We start from the raw sequence: 24,913 nt of genomic DNA, 5'->3' as shown, positions 1-24,913 counted from the left end.
GTTCTGTGACTTGAATGCAAACATCACAAAGAAGTTCCTGAGAATGCTTCTCTCTAGGTTTTATATGTAATCCCGTTTCCAACGAAATCCTCAAAGCTATCCAAATATCCACTTTCAGATTCCACAAAAAGAGTGTTTCAAAACTGCTCTGTAAAAAGAAAGGTTCATCTCTGTTAGTTGAATACACACATCACAAACAAGTTTCTGAGAATGCTTCTGTCTAGTTTTTATGGGAAGATATTTCCTTTTTCAACATGGGCCTCAAAGCGCTCCAAATGTCCACTTCCAGGTAGTGCAGAAAGAGTGTTTCAAACCTGCTCTATAAAAGGGAATATTCAACTCTGTGACTTGAATGCAAACATCACAAAGCACTTTCTGAGAATGCTTCCGTCTAGATTTTATATGAAGATATTCCCGTTTCCAAGGAAATCTTCCTAGCTATCTAAATATCAACTTGCAGATTCTACTAAAGGAATGTTTCCAAAATGCTGTATCCACACAAAGGTTCAACTCTGTTAATTGAGGACATACAGCACAAAGAAGTTTCTGAGAATGCTTCTGTCTAGATTTTATATGAAGATATCCCGTTTCCAAAGAAATCCTCAAAGGTATCCAAATATCTACTTCCAGATTCTACAAAAAGACTGTTTCAAAACGGCTCTGTCAAAAGCAAGGTTCATCTCTGTTACTTGAGTACACACATCACAAGGAAGTTTCTGAGAATGCTTCTGTCTGGTTTTTAGGAGAAGATATTTCCTTTTTCAACATAGGCCTCAAAGCGCTGCAAATGTCCACTTCCAAATATTACAAAAAGAGTGTTTCAAACCTGCTCTATGAAGGGAAGTGTTCAACTCTATGAGTTGAATGCAAACATCACAGAGAAGTTTCTGAGAATGCTTCTGTCTTGATTTTATATGAAGATATTCCCGTTTGCAACGAAACCTTCAAAGCTATCCAAATATCCACTTGCAGATTCTACAAAAAGAGTGTTTCCAAAATGTTGTATCAAAACAAAGGTTCAACTCTGTTAGTTGAGGACACACATCGCAAATAAGTTTCTGAGAATGCTTCTGTCTAGTTTTTATTTGAAGATATTTCCTTTCTTACCATAGGCCTGAAAGCCCTTGAAATGTCCGTTTGCAGATACTACAGAAAGAGTGTTTCAAACATGCTCTATGAAAGGGAATGTTCAGTTCTGTGACGTGAATGCAAACATCACAAAGAAGTTCCTGAGAATGCTTCTCTCTAGATTTTATATGTAATCCCGTTTCCAACGAAATCCTCAAAGCTATCCAAATATCCACTTTCAGATTCCACAAAAAGAGTGTTTCAAAACTGCTCTGTAAAAAGAAAGGTTCATCTCTGTTAGTTGAATACACACATCACAAACAAGTTTCTGAGAATGCTTCTGTCTAGTTTTTATGGGAAGATATTTCCTTTTTCATCATAGGCCTCAAAGCGCTCCAAATGTCCACTTCCAGATAGTGCAGAAAGAGTGTCTCAAACCTGGTATATAAAAGGGAACATTCTACTCTGTGACTTCAATGAAAACATCACAAAGCAGTTTCTGAGAATGCTTCCGTCTAGACTTTATATGAAGATATTCCCGTTTCCAACGAAACCTTCAAAGCTATCCGTATATCCACCTGCAGATTCTACAAAAAGAGTGTTTCCAAAATGCCGTATCAAAACAAAGGTTCAACTCTGGTAGTTGAGAACACACATGGCAAATAAGTTTCTGAGAATGCTTCTGTCTAGTTTTTACTTGAAGATATTTCCTTTCTCACCATAGGCCTGAAAGCGCTTGAAACGTCAGCTTGCAGATACTACAGAAAGAGTGTTTCAAACCTGCTCTATGAAAGGGAATGTTCAGTCCTGTGACTTGAAGGCAAACATCACAAAGGAGTTCCTGAGAATGCTTCTCTCTAGGTTTTATATGTAATCCCGTTTCCAACGAAATCCTCAAAGCTATCCAAATATCCACTTTCAGATTCCACAAAAAGAGTGTTTCAAAACTGCTCTGTAAAAAGAAAGGTTCATCTCTGTTAGTTGAATACACACATCACAAACAAGTTTCTGACAATGCTTCTGTCTAGTTTTTATAGGAAGATATTTCCTTTTTCAACATAGGCCTCAAAGCGCTCCAAATGTCCACTTCCAGGTAGTGCAGAAAGAGTGTTTCAAACCTGCTCTATAAAAGGGAATATTCAACTCTGTGACTTGAATGCAAACATCACAAAGCACTTTCTGAGAATGCTTCCGTCTAGATTTTATATGAAGATATTCCCGTTTCCAAGGAAATCTTCCTAGCTATCTAAATATCAACTTGCAGATTCTACTAAAGGAATGTTTCCAAAATGCTGTATCCACACAAAGGTTCAACTCTGTTAATTGAGGACATACAGCACAAAGAAGTTTCTGAGAATGCTTCTGTCTAGATTTTATATGAAGATATCCCGTGTCCAACGAAATCCTCAAAGGTATCAAAATATCCACTTGCAGATTCTACAAAAAGAGTGCTTCAAAACTGCTCTGTCAAAAGGAAGGTTCAACTCTGTTACTTGAGTACACACATCACAAGGAAGTTTCTGAGAATGCTTCTGTCTGGTTTTTAGGAGAAGATATTTCCTTTTTCAACATAGGCCTCAAAGCGCTGCAAATGTCCACTTCCAAATATTAGAAAAAGAGTGTTTCAAACCTGCTGTATGAAGGGAAGTGTTCAACTCTATGAGTTGAATGCAAACATCACAGAGAAGTTTCTGAGAATGCTTCTGTCTTGATTTCATATGAAGATATTCCCGTTTCCAACGAAACCTTCAAAGCTATCCAAATATCCACTTGCAGATTCTACAAAAAGAGTGTTTCCAAAATGTTGTATCAAAAGAAAGGTTCAACTCTGTTAGTTGAGGACACACATCGCAAATACGTTTCTGAGAATGCTTCTGTCTAGTTTTTATTTGAAGATATTTCCTTTCTCACCACAGGCCTGAAAGCGCTTAAAACGTCCGCTTGCAGATACTACAGAAAGAGTGTTTCAAACCTGCTCTATGAAAGGGAATGTTCAGTTCTGTGACTTGAATGCAAACATCACAAAGAAGTTCCTGAGAATGCTTCTCCCTAGATTTTATATGTAATCCCGTTTCCAACGAAATCCGCAAAGCTATCCAAATATCCACTTTCAGATTCCACAAAAAGAGTGTTTCAAAACTCCTCTGTAAAAAGAAAGGTTCATCTCTGTTAGTTGAATACACACATCACAAACAAGTTTCTGAGAATGCTTCTGTCTAGTTTTTATGGGAAGATATTACCTTTTTCATCATAGGCCTCAAAGCGCTGCAAATGTCCACTTCCAAATATTACAAAAAGAGTGTTTCAAACCTGCTGTATGAAGGGAAGTGTTCAACTCTATGAGTTGAATGCAAACATCACAGAGAAGTTTCTGAGAATGCTTCTGTCTTGATTTTATATGAAGATATTCCCGTTTCCAAAGAAACCTTCAAAGCTATCCAAATATCCACTTGCAGATTCTACAAAAAGAGTGTTTCCAAAATGTTGTATCAAAAGAAAGGTTCAACTCTGTTAGTTGAGGAAACACATCGCAAACAAGTTTCTGAGAATGCTTCTGTCTAGTTTTTATTTGAAGATATTTCCTTTCTCACCATAGGCCTGAAAGCGTTTGAAATGTCCGCTTGCAGATACTACAGAAAGAGTGTTTCAAACATGCTCTATGAAAGGGAATGTTCAGTTCTGTGACGTGAATGCAAACATCACAAAGAAGTTCCTGAGAATGCTTCTGTCTAGATTTCATATGAAGATATCCCGTGTCCAACGAAATCCTCAAAGGTATCAAAATATCCACTTGCAGATTCTACAAAAAGAGTGCTTCAAAACTGCTCTGTCAAAAGGAAGGTTCAACTCTGTTACTTGAGTACACACATCACAAGGAAGTTTCTGAGAATGCTTCTGTCTGGTTTTTAGGAGAAGATATTTCCTTTTTCAACATAGGCCTCAAAGCGCTGCAAATGTCCACTTCCAAATATTACAAAAAGAGTGTTTCAAACCTGCTGTATGAAGGGAAGTGTTCAACTCTATGAGTTGAATGCAAACATCACAGAGAAGTTTCTGAGAATGCTTCTGTCTTGATTTCATATGAAGATATTCCCGTTTCCAACGAAACCTTCAAAGCTATCCAAATATCCACTTGCAGATTCTACAAAAAGAGTGTTTCCAAAATGTTGTATCAAAAGAAAGGTTCAACTCTGTTAGTTGAGGACACACATCGCAAATAAGTTTCTGAGAATGCTTCTGTCTAGTTTTTATTTGAAGATATTTCCTTTCTCACCACAGGCCTGAAAGCGCTTAAAACGTCCGCTTGCAGATACTACAGAAAGAGTGTTTCAAACCTGCTCTATGAAAGGGAATGTTCAGTTCTGTGACTTGAATGCAAACATCACAAAGAAGTTCCTGAGAATGCTTCTCCCTAGATTTTATATGTAATCCCGTTTCCAACGAAATCCGCAAAGCTATCCAAATATCCACTTTCAGATTCCACAAAAAGAGTGTTTCAAAACTGCTCTGTAAAAAGAAAGGTTCATCTCTGTTAGTTGAATACACACATCACAAACAAGTTTCTGAGAATGCTTCTGTCTAGTTTTTATGGGAAGATATTACCTTTTTCATCATAGGCCTCAAAGCGCTGCAAATGTCCACTTCCAAATATTACAAAAAGAGTGTTTCAAACCTGCTGTATGAAGGGAAGTGTTCAACTCTATGAGTTGAATGCAAACATCACAGAGAAGTTTCTGAGAATGCTTCTGTCTTGATTTTATATGAAGATATTACCGTTTCCAACGAAACCTTCAAAGCTATTCAAATATCCACTTGCTGATTCTACAAAAAGAGTGTTTCCAAAATGTTGTATCAAAAGAAAGGTTCAACTCTGTTAGTTGAGGACACACATCGCAAATAAGTTTCTGAGAATGCTTCTGTCTAGTTTTTACTTGAAGATATTTCCTTTCTCACCATAGGCCTGAAAGCGTTTGAAATGTCCGTTTGCAGATACTACAGAAAGAGTGTTTCAAACATGCTCTATGAAAGGGAATGTTCAGTTCTGTGACGTGAATGCAAACATCACAAAGAAGTTCCTGAGAATGCTTCTCTCTAGATTTTATATGTAATCCCGTTTCCAACGAAATCCTCAAAGCTATCCAAATATCCACTTTCAGATTCCACAAAAAGAGTGTTTCAAAACTGCTCTGTAAAAAGAAAGGTTCATCTCTGTTAGTTGAATACACACATCACAAACAAGTTTCTGAGAATGCTTCTGTCTAGTTTTTATGGGAAGATATTTCCTTTTTCATCATAGGCCTCAAAGCACTCCAAATGTCCACTTCCAGATAGTGCAGAAAGAGTGTCTCAAACCTGGTATATAAAAGGGAACATTCTACTCTGTGACTTCAATGAAAACATCACAAAGCAGTTTCTGAGAATGCTTCCGTCTAGATTTTATATGAAGATATTCCCGTTTCCAACGAAACCTTCAAAGCTATCCGAATATCCACCTGCAGATTCTACAAAAAGAGTGTTTCCAAAATGCCGTATCAAAACAAAGGTTCAACTCTGTTAGTTGAGAACACACATGGCAAATAAGTTTTCTGAGAATGCTTTCTGTCTAGTTTTTACTTGAAGATATTTCCTTTCTCACCATAGGCCTGAAAGCACTTGAAACGTCAGCTTGCAGATACTACAGAAAGAGTGTTTCAAACCTGCTCTATGAAAGGGAATGTTCAGTTCTGTGACTTGAATGCAAACATCACAAAGAAGTTCCTGAGAATGCTTCTCTCTAGGTTTTATATGTAATCCCGTTTCCAACGAAATCCTCAAAGCTATCCAAATATCCACTTTCAGATTCCACAAAAAGAGTGTTTCAAAACTGCTCTGTAAAAAGAAAGGTTCATCTCTGTTAGTTGAATACACACATCACAAACAAGTTTCTGAGAATGCTTCTGTCTAGTTTTTATGGGAAGATATTTCCTTTTTCAACATACGCCTCAAAGCGCTCCAAACGTCCACTTCCAGGTAGTGCAGAAAGAGTGTCTCAAACCTGGTATATAACAGGGAACATTCTACTCTGTGACTTGAATGAAAACATCACAAAGCAGTTTCTGAGAATGCTTCTGTCTTGATTTCATATGAAGATATTCCCGTTTCCAACGAAACCTTCAAAGTTATCCAAATATCCACTTGCAAATTCTACAAAAAGAGTGTTTCCAAAATGTTGTATCAAAAGAAAGGTTCAACTCTGTTAGTTGAGGACACACATCGCAAATAAGTTTCTGAGAATGCTTCTGTCTAGTTTTTATTTGAAGATATTTCCTTTCTCACCACAGGCCTGAAAGCGCTTAAAACGTCCGCTTGCAGATACTACAGAAAGAGTGTTTCAAACCTGCTCTATGAAAGGGAATGTTCAGTTCTGTGACTTGAATGCAAACATCACAAAAAAGTTCCTGAGAATGCTTCTCTCTAGGTTTTATATGTAATCCCGTTTCCAACGAAATCCTCAAAGCTATCCAAATATCCACTTTCAGATTCCACAAAAAGAGTGTTTCAAAACTGCTCTGTAAAAAGAAAGGTTCATCTCTGTTAGTTGAATACACACATCACAAACAAGTTTCTGAGAATGCTTCTGTCTAGTTTTTATGGGAAGATATTTCGTTTTTCAACATAGGCCTCAAAGCGCTCCAAATGTCCACTTCCAGGTAGTGCAGAAAGAGTGTTTCAAACCTGCTCTATAAAAGGGAACATTCTACTCTGTGACTTGAATGAAGACATCACAAAGCACTTTCTGAGAATGCTTCCGTCTAGATTTTATATGAAGATATTCCCGTTTCCAAGGAAATCTTCCTAGCTATCTAAATATCAACTTGCAGATTCTACTAAAGGAATGTTTCCAAAATGCTGTATCCACACAAAGGTTCAACTCTGTTAATTGAGGACATACAGCACAAAGAAGTTTCTGAGAATGCTTCTGTCTAGTTTTTATTTGAAGATATTTCCTTTCTCACCACAGGCTTGAAAGCGCTTAAAACGTCCGCTTGCAGATACTACAGAAAGAGTGTTTCAAACATGCTCTATGAAAGGGAATGTTCAGTTCTGTGACGTGAATGCAAACATCACAAAGAAGTTCCTGAGAATGCTTCTCTCTAGATTTTATATGTAATCCCGTTTCCAACGAAATCCTCAAAGCTATCCAAATATCCACTTTCAGATTCCACAAAAAGAGTGTTTCAAAACTGCTCTGTAAAAAGAAAGGTTCATCTCTGTTAGTTGAATACACACATCACAAACAAGTTTCTGAGAATGCTTCTGTCTAGTTTTTATGGGAAGATATTTCCTTTTTCATCATAGGCCTCAAAGCGCTGCAAATGTCCACTTCCAGGTAGTGCAGAAAGAGTGTCTGAAACTTGGTATATAACAGGGAAGATTCTACTCTGTGACTTGAATGAAAACATCACAAAGCACTTTCTGAGAATGCTTCCGTCTAGATTTTATATGAAGATATTCCCGTTTCCAACGAAACCTTCAAAGCTATCCGAATATCCACCTGCAGATTCTACAAAAAGAGTGTTTCCAAAATGCCATATCAAAACAAAGGTTCAACTCTGTTAGTTGAGAACACACATCGCAAATAAGTTTCTGAGAATGCTTCTGTCTAGTTTTTACTTGAAGATATTTCCTTTCTCACCATAGGCCTGAAAGCGCTTGAAACGTCAGCTTGCAGATACTACAGAAAGAGTGTTTCAAACCTGCTCTATGAAAGGGAATGTTCAGTTCTGTGACTTGAATGCAAACATCACAAAGAAGTTCCTGAGAATGCTTCTCTCTAGGTTTTATATGTAATCCCGTTTCCAACAAAATCCTCAAAGCTATCCAAATATCCACTTTCAGAATCCACAAAAAGAGTGTTTCAAAACTGCTCTGTAAAAAGAAAGGTTCATCTCTGTTAGTTGAATACACACATCACAAACAAATTTCTGAGAATGCTTCTGTCTAGTTTTTATGGGAAGATATTTCCTTTTTCAACATAGGCCTCAAAGCGCTCCAAATGTCCACTTCCAGGTAGTGCAGAAAGAGTGTTTCAAACCTGCTCTATAAAAGGGAATATTCAACTCTGTGACTTGAATGCAAACATCACAAAGCACTTTCTGAGAATGCTTCTGTCTAGATTTTATATGAAGATATCCCGTTTCCAAAGAAATCCTCAAATGTGTCCAAATATCTACTTCCAGATTCTACAAAAAGACTGTTTCAAAACGGCTCTGTCAAAAGTAAGGTTCAACTCTGTTACTTGAGTACACACATCACAAGGTAAGTTTCTGAGAATGCTTCTGTCTAGATTTTATATGAAGATATCCCGTGTCCAACGAAATCCTCAAAGGTATCAAAATATCCACTTGCAGATTCTACAAAAAGAGTGCTTCAAAACTGCTCTGTCAAAAGGAAGGTTCAACTCTGTTACTTGAGTACACACATCACAAGGAAGTTTCTGAGAATGCTTCTGTCTGGTTTTTAGGAGAAGATATATCCTTTTTCAACATAGGCCTCAAAGCGCTGAAAATGTCCACTTCCAAATATTAGAAAAAGAGTGTTTCAAACCTGCTGTATGAAGGGAAGTGTTCAACTCTATGAGTTGAATGCAAACATCACAGAGAAGTTTCTGAGAATGCTTCTGTCTTGATTTCATATGAAGATATTCCCGTTTCCAACGAAACCTTCAAAGCTATCCAAATATCCACTTGCAGATTCTACAAAAAGAGTGTTTCCAAAATGTTGTATCAAAAGAAAGGTTCAACTCTGTTAGTTGAGGACACACATCGCAAATAAGTTTCTGAGAATGCTTCTGTCTAGTTTTTATTTGAAGATATTTCCTTTTTCACCACAGGCCTGAAAGCGCTTCAAACGTCCGCTTGCAGATACTACAGAAAGAGTGTTTCAAACCTGCTCTATGAAAGGGAATGTTCAGTTCTGTGACTTGAATGCAAACATCACAAAGAAGTTCCTGAGAATGCTTCTCCCTAGATTTTATATGTAATCCCGTTTCCAACGAAATCCTCAAAGCTATCCAAATATCCACTTTCGGATTCCACAAAAAGAGTGTTTCAAAACTACTCTGTAAAAAGAAAGGTTCATCTCTGTTAGTTGAATACACACATCACAAACAAGTTTCTGAGAATGCTTCTGTCTAGTTTTTATGGGAAGATATTTCCTTTTTCAACATAGGCCTCAAAGCGCTCCAAATGTCCACTTCCAGGTAGTGCAAAAAGAGTGTTTCAAACCTGCTCTATAAAAGGGAATATTCAACTCTGTGACTTGAATGCAAACATCACAAAGCACTTTCTGAGAATGCTTCTGTCTTGATTTTATATGAAGATATTCCCGTTTCCAACGAAACCTTCAAAGCTATCCAAATATCCACTTGCAGATTCTACAAAAAGAGTGTTTCCAAAATGTTGTATCAAAACAAAGGTTCAACTCTGTTAGTTGAGGACACACATCGCAAATAAGTTTCTGAGAATGCTTCTGTCTAGTTTTTACTTGAAGATATTTCCTTTCTTACCATAGGCCTGAAAGCGCTTGAAATGTCCGTTTGCAGATACTACAGAAAGAGTGTTTCAAACATGCTCTATGAAAGGGAATGTTCAGTTCTGTGACGTGAATGCAAACATCACAAAGAAGTTCCTGAGAATGCTTCTCTCTAGATTTTGTATGTAATCCCGTTTCCAACGAAATCCTCAAAGCTATCCAAATATCCACTTTCAGATTCCACAAAAAGAGTGTTTCAAAACTGCTCTGTAAAAAGAAAGGTTCATCTCTGTTAGTTGAATACACACATCACAAACAAGTTTCTGAGAATGCTTCTGTCTAGTTTTTATGGGAAGATATTTCCTTTTTCAACATAAGCCTCAAAGCGCTCCAAATGTCCACTTCCAGATAGTGCAGAAAGAGTGTCTCAAACCTGGTATATAAAAGGGAACATTCTACACTGTGACTTGAATGAAAACATCACAAAGCACTTTCTGAGAATGCTTCCGTCTAGATTTTATATGAAGATATTCCCGTTTCCAACGAAACCTTCAAAGCTATCCGAATATCCACCTGCAGATTCTACAAAAAGAGTGTTTCCAAAATGCCGTATCAAAACAAAGGTTCAACTCTGTTAGTTGAGAACACACATGGCAAATAAGTTTCTGAGAATGCTTCTGTCTAGTTTTTACTTGAAGATATTTCCTTTCTCACCATAGGCCTGAAAGCGCTTGAAACGTCCGCTTGCAGATACTACAGAAAGAGTGTTTCAAACATGCTCTATGAAAGGGAATGTTCAGTTCTGTGACTTGAATGCAAACATCACAAAGAAGTTCCTGAGAATGCTTCTCTCTAGATTTTATATGTAATCCCGTTTCCAACGAAATCCTCAAAGCTATCCAAATATCCACTTTCAGATTCCACAAAAAGAGTGTTTCAAAACTGCTCTGTAAAAAGAAAGGTTCATCTCTGTTAGTTGAATACACACATCACAAACAAGTTTCTGAGAATGCTTCTGTCTAGTTTTTATGGGAAGATATTTCCTTTTTCATCATAGGCCTCAAAGCGCTCCAAATGTCCACTTCCAGATAGTGCAGAAAGAGTGTCTCAAACCTGGTATATAAAAGGGAACATTCTACTCTGTGGCTTGAATGAAAACATCACAAAGCAGTTTCTGAGAATGCTTCCGTCTAGATTTTATATGAAGATATTCCCGTTTCCAACGAAACTTTCAAAGCTATCCGAATATCCACCTGCAGATTCTACAAAAAGAGTGTTTCCAAAATGCCGTATCAAAACAAAGGTTCAACTCTGTTAGTTGAGAACACACATGGCAAATAAGTTTCTGAGAATGCTTCTGTCTAGTTTTTATTTGAAGATATTTCCTTTCTCACCATAGGCCTGAAAGCGTTTGAAATGTCCGTTTGCAGATACTACAGAAAGAGTGTTTCAAACATGCTCTATGAAAGGGAATGTTCAGTTCAGTGACGTGAATGCAAACATCACAAAGATGTTCCTGAGAATGCTTCTCTCTAGATTTTATATGTAATCCCGTTTCCAACGAAATCCTCAAAGCTATCCAAATATCCACTTTCAGATTCCACAAAAAGAGTGTTTCAAAACTGCTCTGTAAAAAGAAAGGTTCATCTCTGTTAGTTGAATACACACATCACAAACAAGTTTCTGAGAATGCTTCTGTCTAGTTTTCATGGGAAGATATTTCCTTTTTCAACATACGCCTCAAAGCGCTCCAAACGTCCACTTCCAGGTAGTGCAGAAAGAGTGTCTCAAACCTGGTATATAACAGGGAACATTCTACTCTGTGACTTGAATGAAAACATCACAAAGCAGTTTCTGAGAATGCTTCCGTCTACATTTTATATGAAGATATTCCCGTTTCCAACGAAACCTTCAAAGCTATCCGAATATCCACCTGCAGATTCTACAAAAAGAGGGTTTCCAAAATGCCGTATCAAAACAAAGGTTCAACTCTGTTAGTTGAGAACACACATGGCAAATAAGTTTCTGAGAATGCTTCTGTCTAGTTTTTACTTGAAGATATTTCCTTTCTCACCATAGGCCTGAAAGCGCTTGAAACGTCAGCTTGCAGATACTACAGAAAGAGTGTTTCAAACCTGCTCTATGAAAGGGAATGTTCAGTTCTGTGACTTGAATGCAAACATCACAAAGAAGTTCCTGAGAATGCTTCTCTCTAGGTTTTATATGTAATCCCGTTTCCAACGAAATCCTCAAAGCTATCCAAATATCCACTTTCAGATTCCACAAAAAGAGTGTTTCAAAACTGCTCTGTAAAAAGAAAGGTTCATCTCTGTTAGTTGAATACACACATCACAAACAAGTTTCTGAGAATGCTTCTGTCTAATTTTTATGGGAAGATATTTCCTTTTTCAACATACGCCTCAAAGCGCTCCAAACGTCCACTTCCAGGTAGTGCAGAAAGAGTGTCTCAAACCTGGTATATAACAGGGAACATTCTACTCTGTGACTTGAATGAAAACATCACAAAGCAGTTTCTGAGAATGCTTCCGTCTAGATTTTATATGAAGATATTCCCGTTTCCAACGAAACCTTCAAAGCTATCCGAATATCCACCTGCAGATTCTACAAAAAGAGTGTTTCCAAAATGCCGTATCAAAACAAAGGTTCAACTCTGTTAGTTGAGAACACACATGGCAAATAAGTTTCTGAGAATGCTTCTGTCTAGTTTTTACTTGAAGATATTTCCTTTCTCACCATAGGCCTGAAAGTGCTTGAAACGTCCGCTTGCAGATACTACAGAAAGAGTGTTTCAAACCTGCTCTATGAAAGGGAATGTTCAGTTCTGTGACTTGAATGCAAACATCACAAAGAAGTTCCTGAGAATGCTTCTCTCTAGGTTTTATATGTAATCCCGTTTCCAACGAAATCCTCAAAGCTATCCAAATATCCACTTTCAGATTCCACAAAAAGAGTGTTTCAAAACTGCTCTGTAAAAAGAAAGGTTCATCTCTGTTAGTTGAATACACACATCACAAACAAGTTTCTGAGAATGCTTCTGTCTAGTTTTTATGGGAAGATATTTCCTTTTTCAACATAGGCCTCAAAGCGCTCCAAATGTCCACTTCCAGGTAGTGCAGAAAGAGTGTTTCAAACCTGCTCTATAAAAGGGAACATTCAACTCTGTGACTTGAATGCAAACATCACAAAGCACTTTCTGAGAATGCTTCTGTCTTGATTTTATAAGAAGATATTCCCGTTTCCAACGAAACCTTCAAAGCTATTCAAATATCCACTTACAGATTCTACAAAAAGAGTGTTTCCAAAATGTTATATCAAAAGAAAGGTTCAACTCTGTTAGTTGAGGACACACATCGCAAATAAGTTTCTGAGAATGCTTCTGTCTAGTTTTTACTTGAAGATATTTCCTTTCTCACCATAGGCCTGAAAGCGCTTGAAACGTCAGCTTGCAGATACTACAGAAAGAGTGTTTCAAACCTGCTCTATGAAAGGGAATGTTCAGTTCTGTGACTTGAATGCAAACATCACAAAGAAGTTCCTGAGAATGCTTCTCTCTAGGTTTTATATGTAATCCCGTTTCCAACGAAATCCTCAAAGCTATCCAAATATCCACTTTCAGATTCCACAAAAAGAGTGTTTCAAAACTGCTCTGTAAAAAGAAAGGTTCATCTCTGTTAGTTGAATACACACATCACAAACAAGTTTCTGAGAATGCTTCTGTCTAGTTTTTATGGGAAGATATTTCCTTTTTCAACATAGGCCTCAAAGCGCTCCAAATGTCCACTTCCAGGTAGTGCAGAAAGAGTGTTTCAAACCTGCTCTATAAAAGGGAATATTCAACTCTGTGACTTGAATGCAAACATCACAAAGCACTTTCTGAGAATGCTTCCGTCTAGATTTTATATGAAGATATTCCCGTTTCCAAGGAAATCTTCCTAGCTATCTAAATATCAACTTGCAGATTCTACTAAAGGAATGTTTCCAAAATGCTGTATGCACACAAAGGTTCAACTCTGTTAATTGAGGACATACAGCACAAAGAAGTTTCTGAGAATGCTTCTGTCTAGATTTTATATGAAGATATCCCGTGTCCAACGAAATCCTCAAAGGTATCAAAATATCCACTTGCAGATTCTACAAAAAGAGTGCTTCAAAACTGCTCTGTCAAAAGGAAGGTTCAACTCTGTTACTTGAGTACACACATCACAAGGAAGTTTCTGAGAATGCTTCTGTCTGGTTTTTAGGAGAAGATATTTCCTTTTTCATCATAGGCCTCAAAGCGCTGCAAATGTCCACTTCCAAATATTAGAAAAAGAGTGTTTCAAACCTGCTGTATGAAGGGAAGTGTTCAACTCTATGAGTTGAATGCAAACATCACAGAGAAGTTTCTGAGAATGCTTCTGTCTTGATTTTATATGAAGATATTCCCGTTTCCAACGAAACCTTCAAAGCTATTCAAATATCCACTTGCAGATTCTACAAAAAGAGTGTTTCCAAAATGTTGTATCAAAAGAAAGGTTCAACTCTGTTAGTTGAGGACACACATCGCAAATAAGTTTCTGAGAATGCTTCTGTCTAGTTTTTATTTGAAGATATTTCCTTTCTCACCATAGGCCTGAAAGCGTTTGAAATGTCCGTTTGCAGATACTACAGAAAGAGTGTTTCAAACATGCTCTATGAAAGGGAATGTTCAGTTCTGTGACGTGAATGCAAACATCACAAAGAAGTTCCTGAGAATGCTTCTGTCTAGATTTTATATGAAGATATCCCGTGTCCAACGAAATCCTCAATGGTATCAAAATATCCACTTGCAGATTCTACAAAAAGAGTGCTTCAAAACTGCTCTGTCAAAAGGAAGGTTCAACTCTGTTACTTGAGTACACACATCACAAGGAAGTTTCTGAGAATGCTTCTGTCTGGTTTTTAGGAGAAGATATTTCCTTTTTCAACATAGGCCTCAAAGCGCTGCAAATGTCCACTTCCAAATATTAGAAAAAGAGTGTTTCAAACCTGCTGTATGAAGAGAAGTGTTCAACTCTATGAGTTGAATGCAAACATCACAGAGAAGTTTCTGAGAATGCTTCTGTCTTGATTTCATATGAAGATATTCCCGTTTCCAACGAAACCTTCAAAGCTATCCAAATATCCACTTGCAGATTCTACAAAAAGAGTGTTTCCAAAATGTTGTATCAAAAGAAAGGTTCAACTCTGTTAGTTGAGGACACACATCGCAAATAAGTTTCTGAGAATGCTTCTGTCTAGTTTTTATTTGAAGATATTTCCTTTCTCACCACAGGCCTGAAAGCGCTTAAAACGTCCGCTTGCAGATACTACAGAAAGAGTGTTTCAAACCTGCTCTATGAAAGGGAATGTTCAGTTCTGTGACGTGAATGCAAACATCACAAAGAAGTTCCTGAGAATGCTTCTGTCTAGATTTTATATGAAGATATCCCGTATCCAACGAAATCCTCAAAGGTATCAAAATATCCACTTGCAGATTCTACAAAAAGAGTGCTTCAAAACTGCTCTGTCAAAAGGAAGGTTCAACTCTGTTACTTGAGTACACACATCACAAGGAAGTGTCTGAGAATGCTTCTGTCTAGTTTTTATGGGAAGATATTTCCTTTTTCAACATAGGCCTCAAAGCGCTCCAAACGTCCACTTCCAGGTAGTGCAGAAAGAGTGTCTCAAACCTGGTATATAACAGGGAACACTCCACTCTGTGACTTGAATGAAAACATCACAAAGCACTTTCTGAGAATGCTTCCGTCTAGATTTTATATGAAGATATTCCCGTTTCCAACGAAACCTTCAAAGCTATCCGAATATCCACCTGCAGATACTACAAAAAGAGTGTTTCCAAAATGCCGTATCAAAACAAAGGTTCAACTCTGTTAGTTGAGAACACACATGGCAAATAAGTTTCTGAGAATGCTTCTGTCTAGTTTTTACTTGAAGATATTTCCTTTCTCACCATAGGCCTGAAAGCGCTTGAAACGTCAGCTTGCAGATACTACAGAAAGAGTGTTTCAAACCTGCTCTATGAAAGGGAATGTTCAGTCCTGTGACTTGAAGGCAAACATCACAAAGAAGTTCCTGAGAATGCTTCTCTCTAGGTTTTATATGTAATCCCGTTTCCAACGAAATCCTCAAAGCTATCCAAATATCCACTTTCAGATTCCACAAAAAGAGTGTTTCAAAACTGCTCTGTAAAAAGAAAGGTTCATCTCTGTTAGTTGAATACACACATCACAAACAAGTTTCTGAGAATGCTTCTGTCTAGTTTTTATGGGAAGATATTTCCTTTTTCAACATAGGCCTCAAAGCGCTCCAAATGTCCACTTCCAGGTAGTGCAGAAAGAGTGTTTCAAACCTGCTCTATAAAAGGGAATATTCAACTCTGTGACTTGAATGCAAACATCACAAAGCACTTTCTGCGAATGCTTCCGTCTAGATTTTATATGAAGATATTCCCGTTTCCAAGGAAATCTTCCTAGCTATCTAAATATCAACTTGCAGATTCTACTAAAGGAATGTTTCCAAAATGCTGTATCCACACAAAGGTTCAACTCTGTTAATTGAGGACATACAGCACAAAGAAGTTTCTGAGAATGCTTCTGTCTAGATTTTATATGAAGATATCCCGTGTCTAACGAAATCCTCAAAGGTATCAAAATATCCACTTGCAGATTCTACAAAAAGAGTGCTTCAAAACGGCTCTGTCAAAAGGAAGGTTCAACTCTGTTACTTGAGTACACACATCACAAGGAAGTTTCTGAGAATGCTTCTGTCTGGTTTTTAGGAGAAGATATTTCCTTTTTCAACATAGGCCTCAAAGCGCTGCAAATGTCCACTTCCAAATATTAGAAAAAGAGTGTTTCAAACCTGCTGTATGAAGGGAAGTGTTCAACTCTATGAGTTGAATGCAAACATCACAGAGAAGTTTCTGAGAATGCTTCTGTCTTGATTTCATATGAAGATATTCCCGTTTCCAACGAAACCTTCAAAGTTATCCAAATATCCACTTGCAGATTCTACAAAAAGAGTGTTTCCAAAATGTTGTATCAAAAGAAAGGTTCAACTCTGTTAGTTGAGGACACACATCGCAAATAAGTTTCTGAGAATGCTTCTGTCTAGTTTTTATTTGAAGATATTTCCTTTCTCACCACAGGCCTGAAAGCGCTTAAAACGTCCGCTTGCAGATACTACAGAAAGAGTGTTTCAAACCTGCTCTATGAAAGGGAATGTTCAGTTCTGTGACTTGAATGCAAACATCACAAAGAAGTTCCTGAGAATGCTTCTCCCTAGATTTTATATGTAATCCCGTTTCCAACGAAATCCGCAAAGCTATCCAAATATCCACTTTCAGATTCCACAAAAAGAGTGTTTCAAAACTGCTCTGTAAAAAGAAAGGTTCATCTCTGTTAGTTGAATACACACATCACAAACAAGTTTCTGAGAATGCTTCTGTCTAGTTTTTATGAGAAGATATTACCTTTTTCATCATAGGCCTCAAAACGCTGCAAATGTCCACTTCCAAATATTACAAAAAGAGTGTTTCAAACCTGCTGTATGAAGGGAAGTGTTCAACTCTATGAGTTGAATGCAAACATCACAGAGAAGTTTCTGAGAATGTTTCTGTCTTGATTTTATATGAAGATATTCCCGTTTCCAACGAAACCTTCAAAGCTATTCAAATATCCACTTGCAGATTCTACAAAAAGAGTGTTTCCAAAATGTTGTATCAAAAGAAAGGTTCAACTCTGTTAGTTGAGGACACACATCGCAAATAAGTTTCTGAGAATGCTTCTGTCTAGTTTTTATTTGAAGATATTTCCTTTCTCACCATAGGCCTGAAAGCGTTTGAAATGTCCGTTTGCAGATACTACAGAAAGAGTGTTTCAAACATGCTCTATGAAAGGGAATGTTCAGTTCTGTGACGTGAATGCAAACATCACAAAGAAGTTCCTGAGAATGCTTCTCTCTAGATTTTATATGTAATCCCGTTTCCAACGAAATCCTCAAAGCTATCCAAATATCCACTTTCAGATTCCACAAAAAGAGTGTTTCAAAACTGCTCTGTAAAAAGAAAGGTTCATCTCTGTTAGTTGAATACACACATCACAAACAAGTTTCTGAGAATGCTTCTGTCTAGTTTTTATGGGAAGATATTTCCTTTTTCATCATAGGCCTCAAAGCGCTGCAAATGTCCACTTCCAGGTAGTGCAGAAAGAGTGTCTGAAACCTGGTATATAACAGGGAACATTCTACTCTGTGACTTGAATGAAAACATCACAAAGCAGTTTCTGAGAATGCTTCCGTCTAGATTTTATATGAAGATATTCCCGTTTCCAACGAAACCTTCAAAGCTATCCGAATATCCACCTGCAGATTCTACAAAAAGAGTGTTTCCAAAATGCCATATCAAAACAAAGGTTCAACTCTGTTAGTTGAGAACACACATCGCAAATAAGTTTCTGAGAATGCTTCTGTCTAGTTTTTACTTGAAGATATTTCCTTTCTCACCATAGGCCTGAAAGCGCTTGAAACGTCAGCTTGCAGATACTACAGAAAGAGTGTTTCAAACCTGCTCTATGAAAGGGAATGTTCAGTTCTGTGACTTGAATGCAAACATCACAAAGAAGTTCCTGAGAATGCTTCTCTCTAGGTTTTATATGTAATCCCGTTTCCAACGAAATCCTCAAAGCTATCCAAATATCCACTTTCAGATTCCACAAAAAGAGTGTTTCAAAACTGCTCTGTAAAAAGAAAGGTTCATCTCTGTTAGTTGAATACACACATCACAAACAAGTTTCTGAGAATGCTTCTGTCTAGTTTTTATGGGAAGATATTTCCTTTTTCAACATAGGCCTCAAAGCGCTCCAAACGTCCACTTCCAGGTAGTGCAGAAAGAGTGTCTCAAACCTGGTGTATAACAGGGAACATTCTACTCTGTGACTTGAATGAAAACATCACAAAGCAGTTTCTGAGAATGCTTCCGTCTAGATTTTATATGAAGATATTCCCGTTTCCAACGAAACCTTCAAAGCTATCCGAATATCCACCTGCAGATTCTACAAAAAGAGTGTTTCCAAAATGCCGTATCAAAACAAAGGTTCAACTCTGTTAGTTGAGAACACACATGGCAAATAAGTTTCTGAGAATGCTTCTGTCTAGTTTTTACTTGAAGATATTTCCTTTCTCACCATAGGCCTGAAAACGCATGAAACGTCAGCTTGCAGATACTACAGAAAGAGTGTTTCAAACCTGCTCTATGAAAGGGAACGTTCAGTCCTGTGACTTGAATGCGAACATCACAAAGAAGTTCCTGAGAATGCTTCTCTCTAGGTTTTATATGTAATCCCGTTTCCAACGAAATCCTCAAAGCTATCCAAATATCCACTTTCAGATTCCACAAAAAGAGTGTTTCAAAACTGCTCTGTAAAAAGAAAGGTTCATCTCTGTTAGTTGAATACACACATCACAAACAAGTTTCTGAGAATGCTTCTGTCTAGTTTTTATGGGAAGATATTACCTTTTTCATCATAGGCCTCAAAGCGCTGCAAATGTCCACTTCCAAATATTACAAAAAGAGTGTTTCAAACCTGCTGTATGAAGGGAAGTGTTCAACTCTATGAGTTGAATGCAAACATCACAGAGAAGTTTCTGAGAATGCTTCCGGCTAGATTTTATATGAAGATATTCCCTTTTCCAAGGAAATCTTCCTAGCTATCTAAATATCAACTTGCAGATTCTACTAAAGGAATGTTTCCAAAATGCTGTATCCACACAAAGGTTCAACTCTGTTCATTGAGGACATACAGCACAAAGAAGTTTCTGAGAATGCTTCTGTCTAGATTTTATATGAAGATATCCCGTTTCCAAAGAAATCCTCAAAGGTATCCAAATATCTACTTCCAGATTCTACAAAAAGACTGTTTCAAAACGGCTCTGTCAAAAGGAAGGTTCAACTCTGTTACTTGAGTACACACATCACAAGGAAGTTTCTGAGAATGCTTCTGTCTGGTTTTTAGGAGAAGATATTTCCTTTTTCAACATAGGCCTCAAAGCGCTGCAAATGTCCACTTCCAAATATTACAAAAAGAGTGTTTCAAACCTGCTCTATGAAGGGAAGTGTTCACCTCTATGAGTTGAATGCAAACATCACAGAGAAGTTTCTGAGAATGCTTCTGTCTTGATTTTATATGAAGATATTCCCGTTTCCAACGAAACCTTCAAAGCTATCCGAATATCCACCTGCAGATTCTACAAAAAGAGTGTTTCCAAAATGTTGTATCAATAGAAAGGTTCAACTCTGTTAGTTGAGGACACACATCACAAATAAGTTTCTGAGAATGCTTCTGTCTGGTTTTTATTTGAAGATATTTCCTTTCTCACCATAGGCCTGAAAGCGCTTGGAATGTCCGTTTGCAGATACTACAGAAACAGTGTTTCAAACCTGCTCTATGAAAGGGAATGTTCAGTTCTGTGACTTGAATGCAAACATCACAAAGAAGTTCCTGAGAATGCTTCTCCCTAGATTTTATATGTAATCCCGTTTCCAACGAAATCCTCAAAGCTATCCAAATATCCACTTTCAGATTCCACAAAAAGAGTGTTTCAAAACTGCTCTGTAAAAAGAAAGGTTCATATCTGTTAGTTGAATACACACATCACAAACAAGTTTCTGAGAATGCTTCTGTCTAGTTTTTATGGGAAGATATTTCCTTTTTCAACATAGGCCTCAAAGCGCTCGAAATGTCCACTTCCAGGTAGTGCACAGAGTGTTTCAAACCGGCTCTATGAAAGGAAGTCTTCAACTCTATGAGTTGAATGCAAACATCACAGAGAAGTTTCTGAGAATGCTTCTGTCTTGATTTTATATGAAGATATTCCCGTTTCCAACGAAACCTTAAAAGCTATCCAAATATCCACCTGTAGATCCTACAAAAAGAGTGTTTCCAAAATGCTGTATCAAAACAAAGGTTCAACTCTGTTAGTTGAGAACACACATGGCAAATAAGTTTCTGAGAATGCTTCTGTCTAGTTTTTACTTGAAGATATTTCCTTTCTCACCATAGGCCTGAAAGCGCTTGAAACGTCAGCTTGCAGATACTACAGAAAGAGTGTTTCAAACCTGCTCTATGAAAGGGAATGTTCAGTTCTGTGACTTGAATGCAAACATCACAAAGAAGTTCCTGAGAATGCTTCTCTCTAGGTTTTATCTGTAATCCCGTTTCCAACGAAATCCTCAAAGCTATCCAAATATCCACTTTCAGATTCCACAAAAAGAGTGTTTCAAAACTGCTCTGTAAAAGGAAAGGTTCATCTCTGTTAGTTGAATACACACATCACAAACAAGTTTCTGAGAATGCTTCTGTCTAGTTTTTATGGGAAGATATTTCCTTTTTCAACATTGGCCTCAAAGCGCTCCAAACGTCCACTTCCGGGTAGTGCAGAAAGAGTGTCTCAAACCTGGTATATAACAGGGAACATTCAACTCTGTGACTTGAATGAAAACATCACAAAGCAGTTTCTGAGAATGCTTCCGTCTAGATTTTATATGAAGATATTCCCGTTTCCAACGAAACCTTCAAAGCTATCCGAATATCCACCTGCAGATTCTACAAAAAGAGTGTTTCCAAAATGCCGTATCAAAACAAAGGTTCAACTCTGTTAGTTGAGAACACACATGGCAAATAAGTTTCTGAGAATGCTTCTGTCTAGTTTTTACTTGAAGATATTTCCTTTCTCACCATAGGCCTGAAAGCGCTTGAAACGTCAGCTTGCAGATACTACAGAAAGAGTGTTTCAAACCTGCTCTATGAAAGGGAATGTTCAGTCCTGTGACTTGAAGGCAAACATCACAAAGAAGTTCCTGAGAATGCTTCTCTCTAGGTTTTATATGTAATCCCGTTTCCAACGAAATCCTCAAAGCTATCCAAATATCCACTTTCAGATTCCACAAAAAGAGTGTTTCAAAACTGCTCTGTAAAAAGAAAGGTTCATCTCTGTTAGTTGAATACACACATCACAAACAAGTTTCTGAGAATGCTTCTGTCTAGTTTTTATGGGAAGATATTTCCTTTTTCAACATAGGCCTCAAAGCGCTCCAAATGTCCACTTCCAGGTAGTGCAGAAAGAGTGTTTCAAACCTGCTCTATAAAAGGGAATATTCAACTCTGTGACTTGAATGCAAACATCACAAAGCACTTTCTGAGAATGCTTCCGTCTAGATTTTATATGAAGATATTCCCGTTTCCAAGGAAATCTTCCTAGCTATCTAAATATCAACTTGCAGATTCTACTAAAGGAATGTTTCCAAAATGCTGTATCCACACAAAGGTTCAACTCTGTTAATTGAGGACATACAGCACAAAGAAGTTTCTGAGAATGTTTCTGTCTAGATTTTATATGAAGATATCCCGTGTCCAACGAAATCCTCAAAGGTATCAAAATATCCACTTGCAGATTCTACAAAAAGAGTGCTTCAAAACTGCTCTGTCAAAAGGAAGGTTCAACTCTGTTACTTGAGTACACACATCACAAGGAAGTTTCTGAGAATGCTTCTGTCTGGTTTTTAGGAGAAGATATTTCCTTTTTCAACATAGGCCTCAAAGCGCTGCAAATGTCCACTTCCAAATATTACAAAAAGAGTGTTTCAAACCTGCTGTATGAAGGGAAGTGTTCAACTCTATGAGTTGAATGCAAACATCACAGAGAAGTTTCTGAGAATGCTTCTGTCTTGATTTCATATGAAGATATTCCCGTTTCCAACGAAACCTTCAAAGCTATCCAAATATCCACTTGCAGATTCTACAAAAAGAGTGTTTCCAAAATGTTGTATCAAAAGAAAGGTTCAACTCTGTTAGTTGAGGACACACATCGCAAATAAGTTTCTGAGAATGCTTCTGTCTAGTTTTTATTTGAAGATATTTCCTTTCTCACCACAGGCCTGAAAGCGCTTAAAACGTCCGCTTGCAGATACTACAGAAAGAGTGTTTCAAACCTGCTCTATGAAAGGGAATGTTCAGTTCTGTGACTTGAATGCAAACATCACAAAGAAGTTCTTGAGAATGCTTCTCTCTAGATTTTTTATGTAATCCCGTTTCCAAAGAAATCCGCAAAGCTATCCAAATATCCACTTTCAGATTCCACAAAAAGAGTGTTTCAAAACTGCTCTGTAAAAAGAAAGGTTCATCTCTGTTAGTTGAATACACACATCACAAACAAGTTTCTGAGAATGCTTCTGTCTAGTTTTTATGGGAAGATATTACCTTTTTCGTCATAGGCCTCAAAGCGCTGCAAATGTCCACTTCCAAATATTACAAAAAGAGTGTTTCAAACCTGCTGTATGAAGGGAAGTGTTCAACTCTATGAGTTGAATGCAAACATCACAGAGAAGTTTCTGAGAATGCTTCTGTGTTGATTTTATATGAAGATATTCCCGTTTCCAACGAAACCTTCAAAGCTATGCAAATATCCACCTGCAGATCCTACAAAAAGAGTGTTTCCAAAATGCTGTATCAAAACAAAGGTTCAACTCTGTTAGTTGAGAACACACATCGCAAATAAGTTTCCGAGAATGCTTCTGTCTAGTTTTTACTTGAAGATATTTCCTTTCTCACCATAGGCCTGAAAGCGTATGAAATGTCCGTTTGCAGATACTACAGAAAGAGTGTTTCAAACATGCTCTATGAAAGGGAATGTTCAGTTCTGTGACGTGAATGCAAACATCACAAAGAAGTTCCTGAGAATGCTTCTCCCTAGATTTTATATGTAATCCCGTTTCCAACGAAATCCTCAAAGCTATCCAAATATCCACTTTCAGATTCCACAAAAAGAGTGTTTCAAAACTGCTCTGTAAAAAGAAAGGTTCATCTCTGTTAGTTGAATACACACATCTCAAACAAGTTTCTGAGAATGCTTCTGTCTAGTTTTTATGGGAAGATATTACCTTTTTCATCACAGGCCTCAAAGCGCTGCAAATGTCCACTTCCAAATATTACAAAAAGAGTGTTTCAAACCTGCTGTATGAAGGAAGTGTTCAACTCTATGAGTTGAAGGCAAACATCACAGAGAAGTTTCTGAGAATGCTTCTGTCTTGATTTTATATGAAGATATTCCCGTTTCCAACGAAACCTTCAAAGCTATTCAAATATCCACTTGCAGATTCTACAAAAAGAGTGTTTCCAAAATGTTGTATCAAAAGAAAGGTTCAACTCTGTTAGTTGAGGACACACATCGCAAATAAGTTTCTGAGAATGCTTCTGTCTAGTTTTTACTTGAAGATATTTCCTTTCTCACCATAGGCCTGAAAGCGCTTGAAACGTCCGCTTGGAGATACTACAGAAAGAGTGTTTCAAACATGCTCTATGAAAGGGAATGTTCAGTTCTGTGACTTGAATGCAACCATCACAAAGAAGTTCCTGAGAATGCTTCTCCCTAGATTTTATATGTAATCCCGTTTCCAACGAAATCCGCAAAGCTATCCAAATATCCACTTTCAGATTCCACAAAAAGAGTGTTTCAAAACTGCTCTGTAAAAAGAAAGGTTCATCTCTGTTAGTTGAATACACACATCACAAACAACTTTCTGAGAATGCTTCTGTCTAGTTTTTATGGGAAGATATTACCTTTTTCATCATAGGCCTCAAAGCGCTGCAAATGTCCACTTCCAAATATTACAAAAAGAGTGTTTCAAACCTGCTGTATGAAGGGAAGTGTTCAACTCTATGAGTTGAATGCAAACATCACAGAGAAGTTTCTGAGAATGCTTCTGTCTTGATTTTATATGAAGATATTCCCGTTTCCAACGAAATCTTCAAAGCTATCCAAATATCCACTTGCAGATTCCACAAAAAGAGTGTTTCCAAAATGTTGTATCAAAAGAAAGGTTCAAGTCTGTTAGTTGAGGACACACATCGCAAATAAGTTTCTGAGAATGCTTCTGTCTAGTTTTTATTTGAAGATATTTCCTTTCTCACCATAGGCCTGAAAGCGTTTGAAATGTCCGTTTGCAGATACTACAGAAAGAGTGTTTCAAACATGCTCTATGAAAGGGAATGTTCAGTTCTGTGACGTGAATGCAAACATCACAAAGAAGTTCCTGAGAATGCTTCTCTCCAGATTTTCTATGTAATCCCGTTTCCAACGAAATCCTCAAAGCTCTCCAAATATCCACTTTCAGATTCCACAAAAAGAGTGTTTCAAAACTGCTCTGTAAAAAGAAAGGTTCATCTCTGTTAGTTGAATACACACATCACAAACAAGTTTCTGAGAATGCATCTGTCTAGTTTTTATGGGAAGATAT

General features: G+C 37.4%; 1 annotated feature.

Annotated features, from left to right (window-relative positions):
- Positions 1–24,913: part of a centromere (Linear centromere model derived predominantly from reads generated in PMID: 17803354. This region does not represent an actual centromere sequence, as long-range ordering of repeats and unmapped WGS contigs is not provided by the model. For details of model production, see http://arxiv.org/abs/1307.0035.) that runs on past both edges of the window.

This window comes from Homo sapiens, chromosome 9 (genome assembly GCF_000001405.40).
Source record: "Homo sapiens chromosome 9, GRCh38.p14 Primary Assembly".
NCBI lineage: Eukaryota > Metazoa > Chordata > Mammalia > Primates > Hominidae > Homo > Homo sapiens.
The sequence above is the reverse complement of the archived record's forward strand: the minus strand, read 5'-3'. Positions and strand labels throughout refer to the sequence as shown.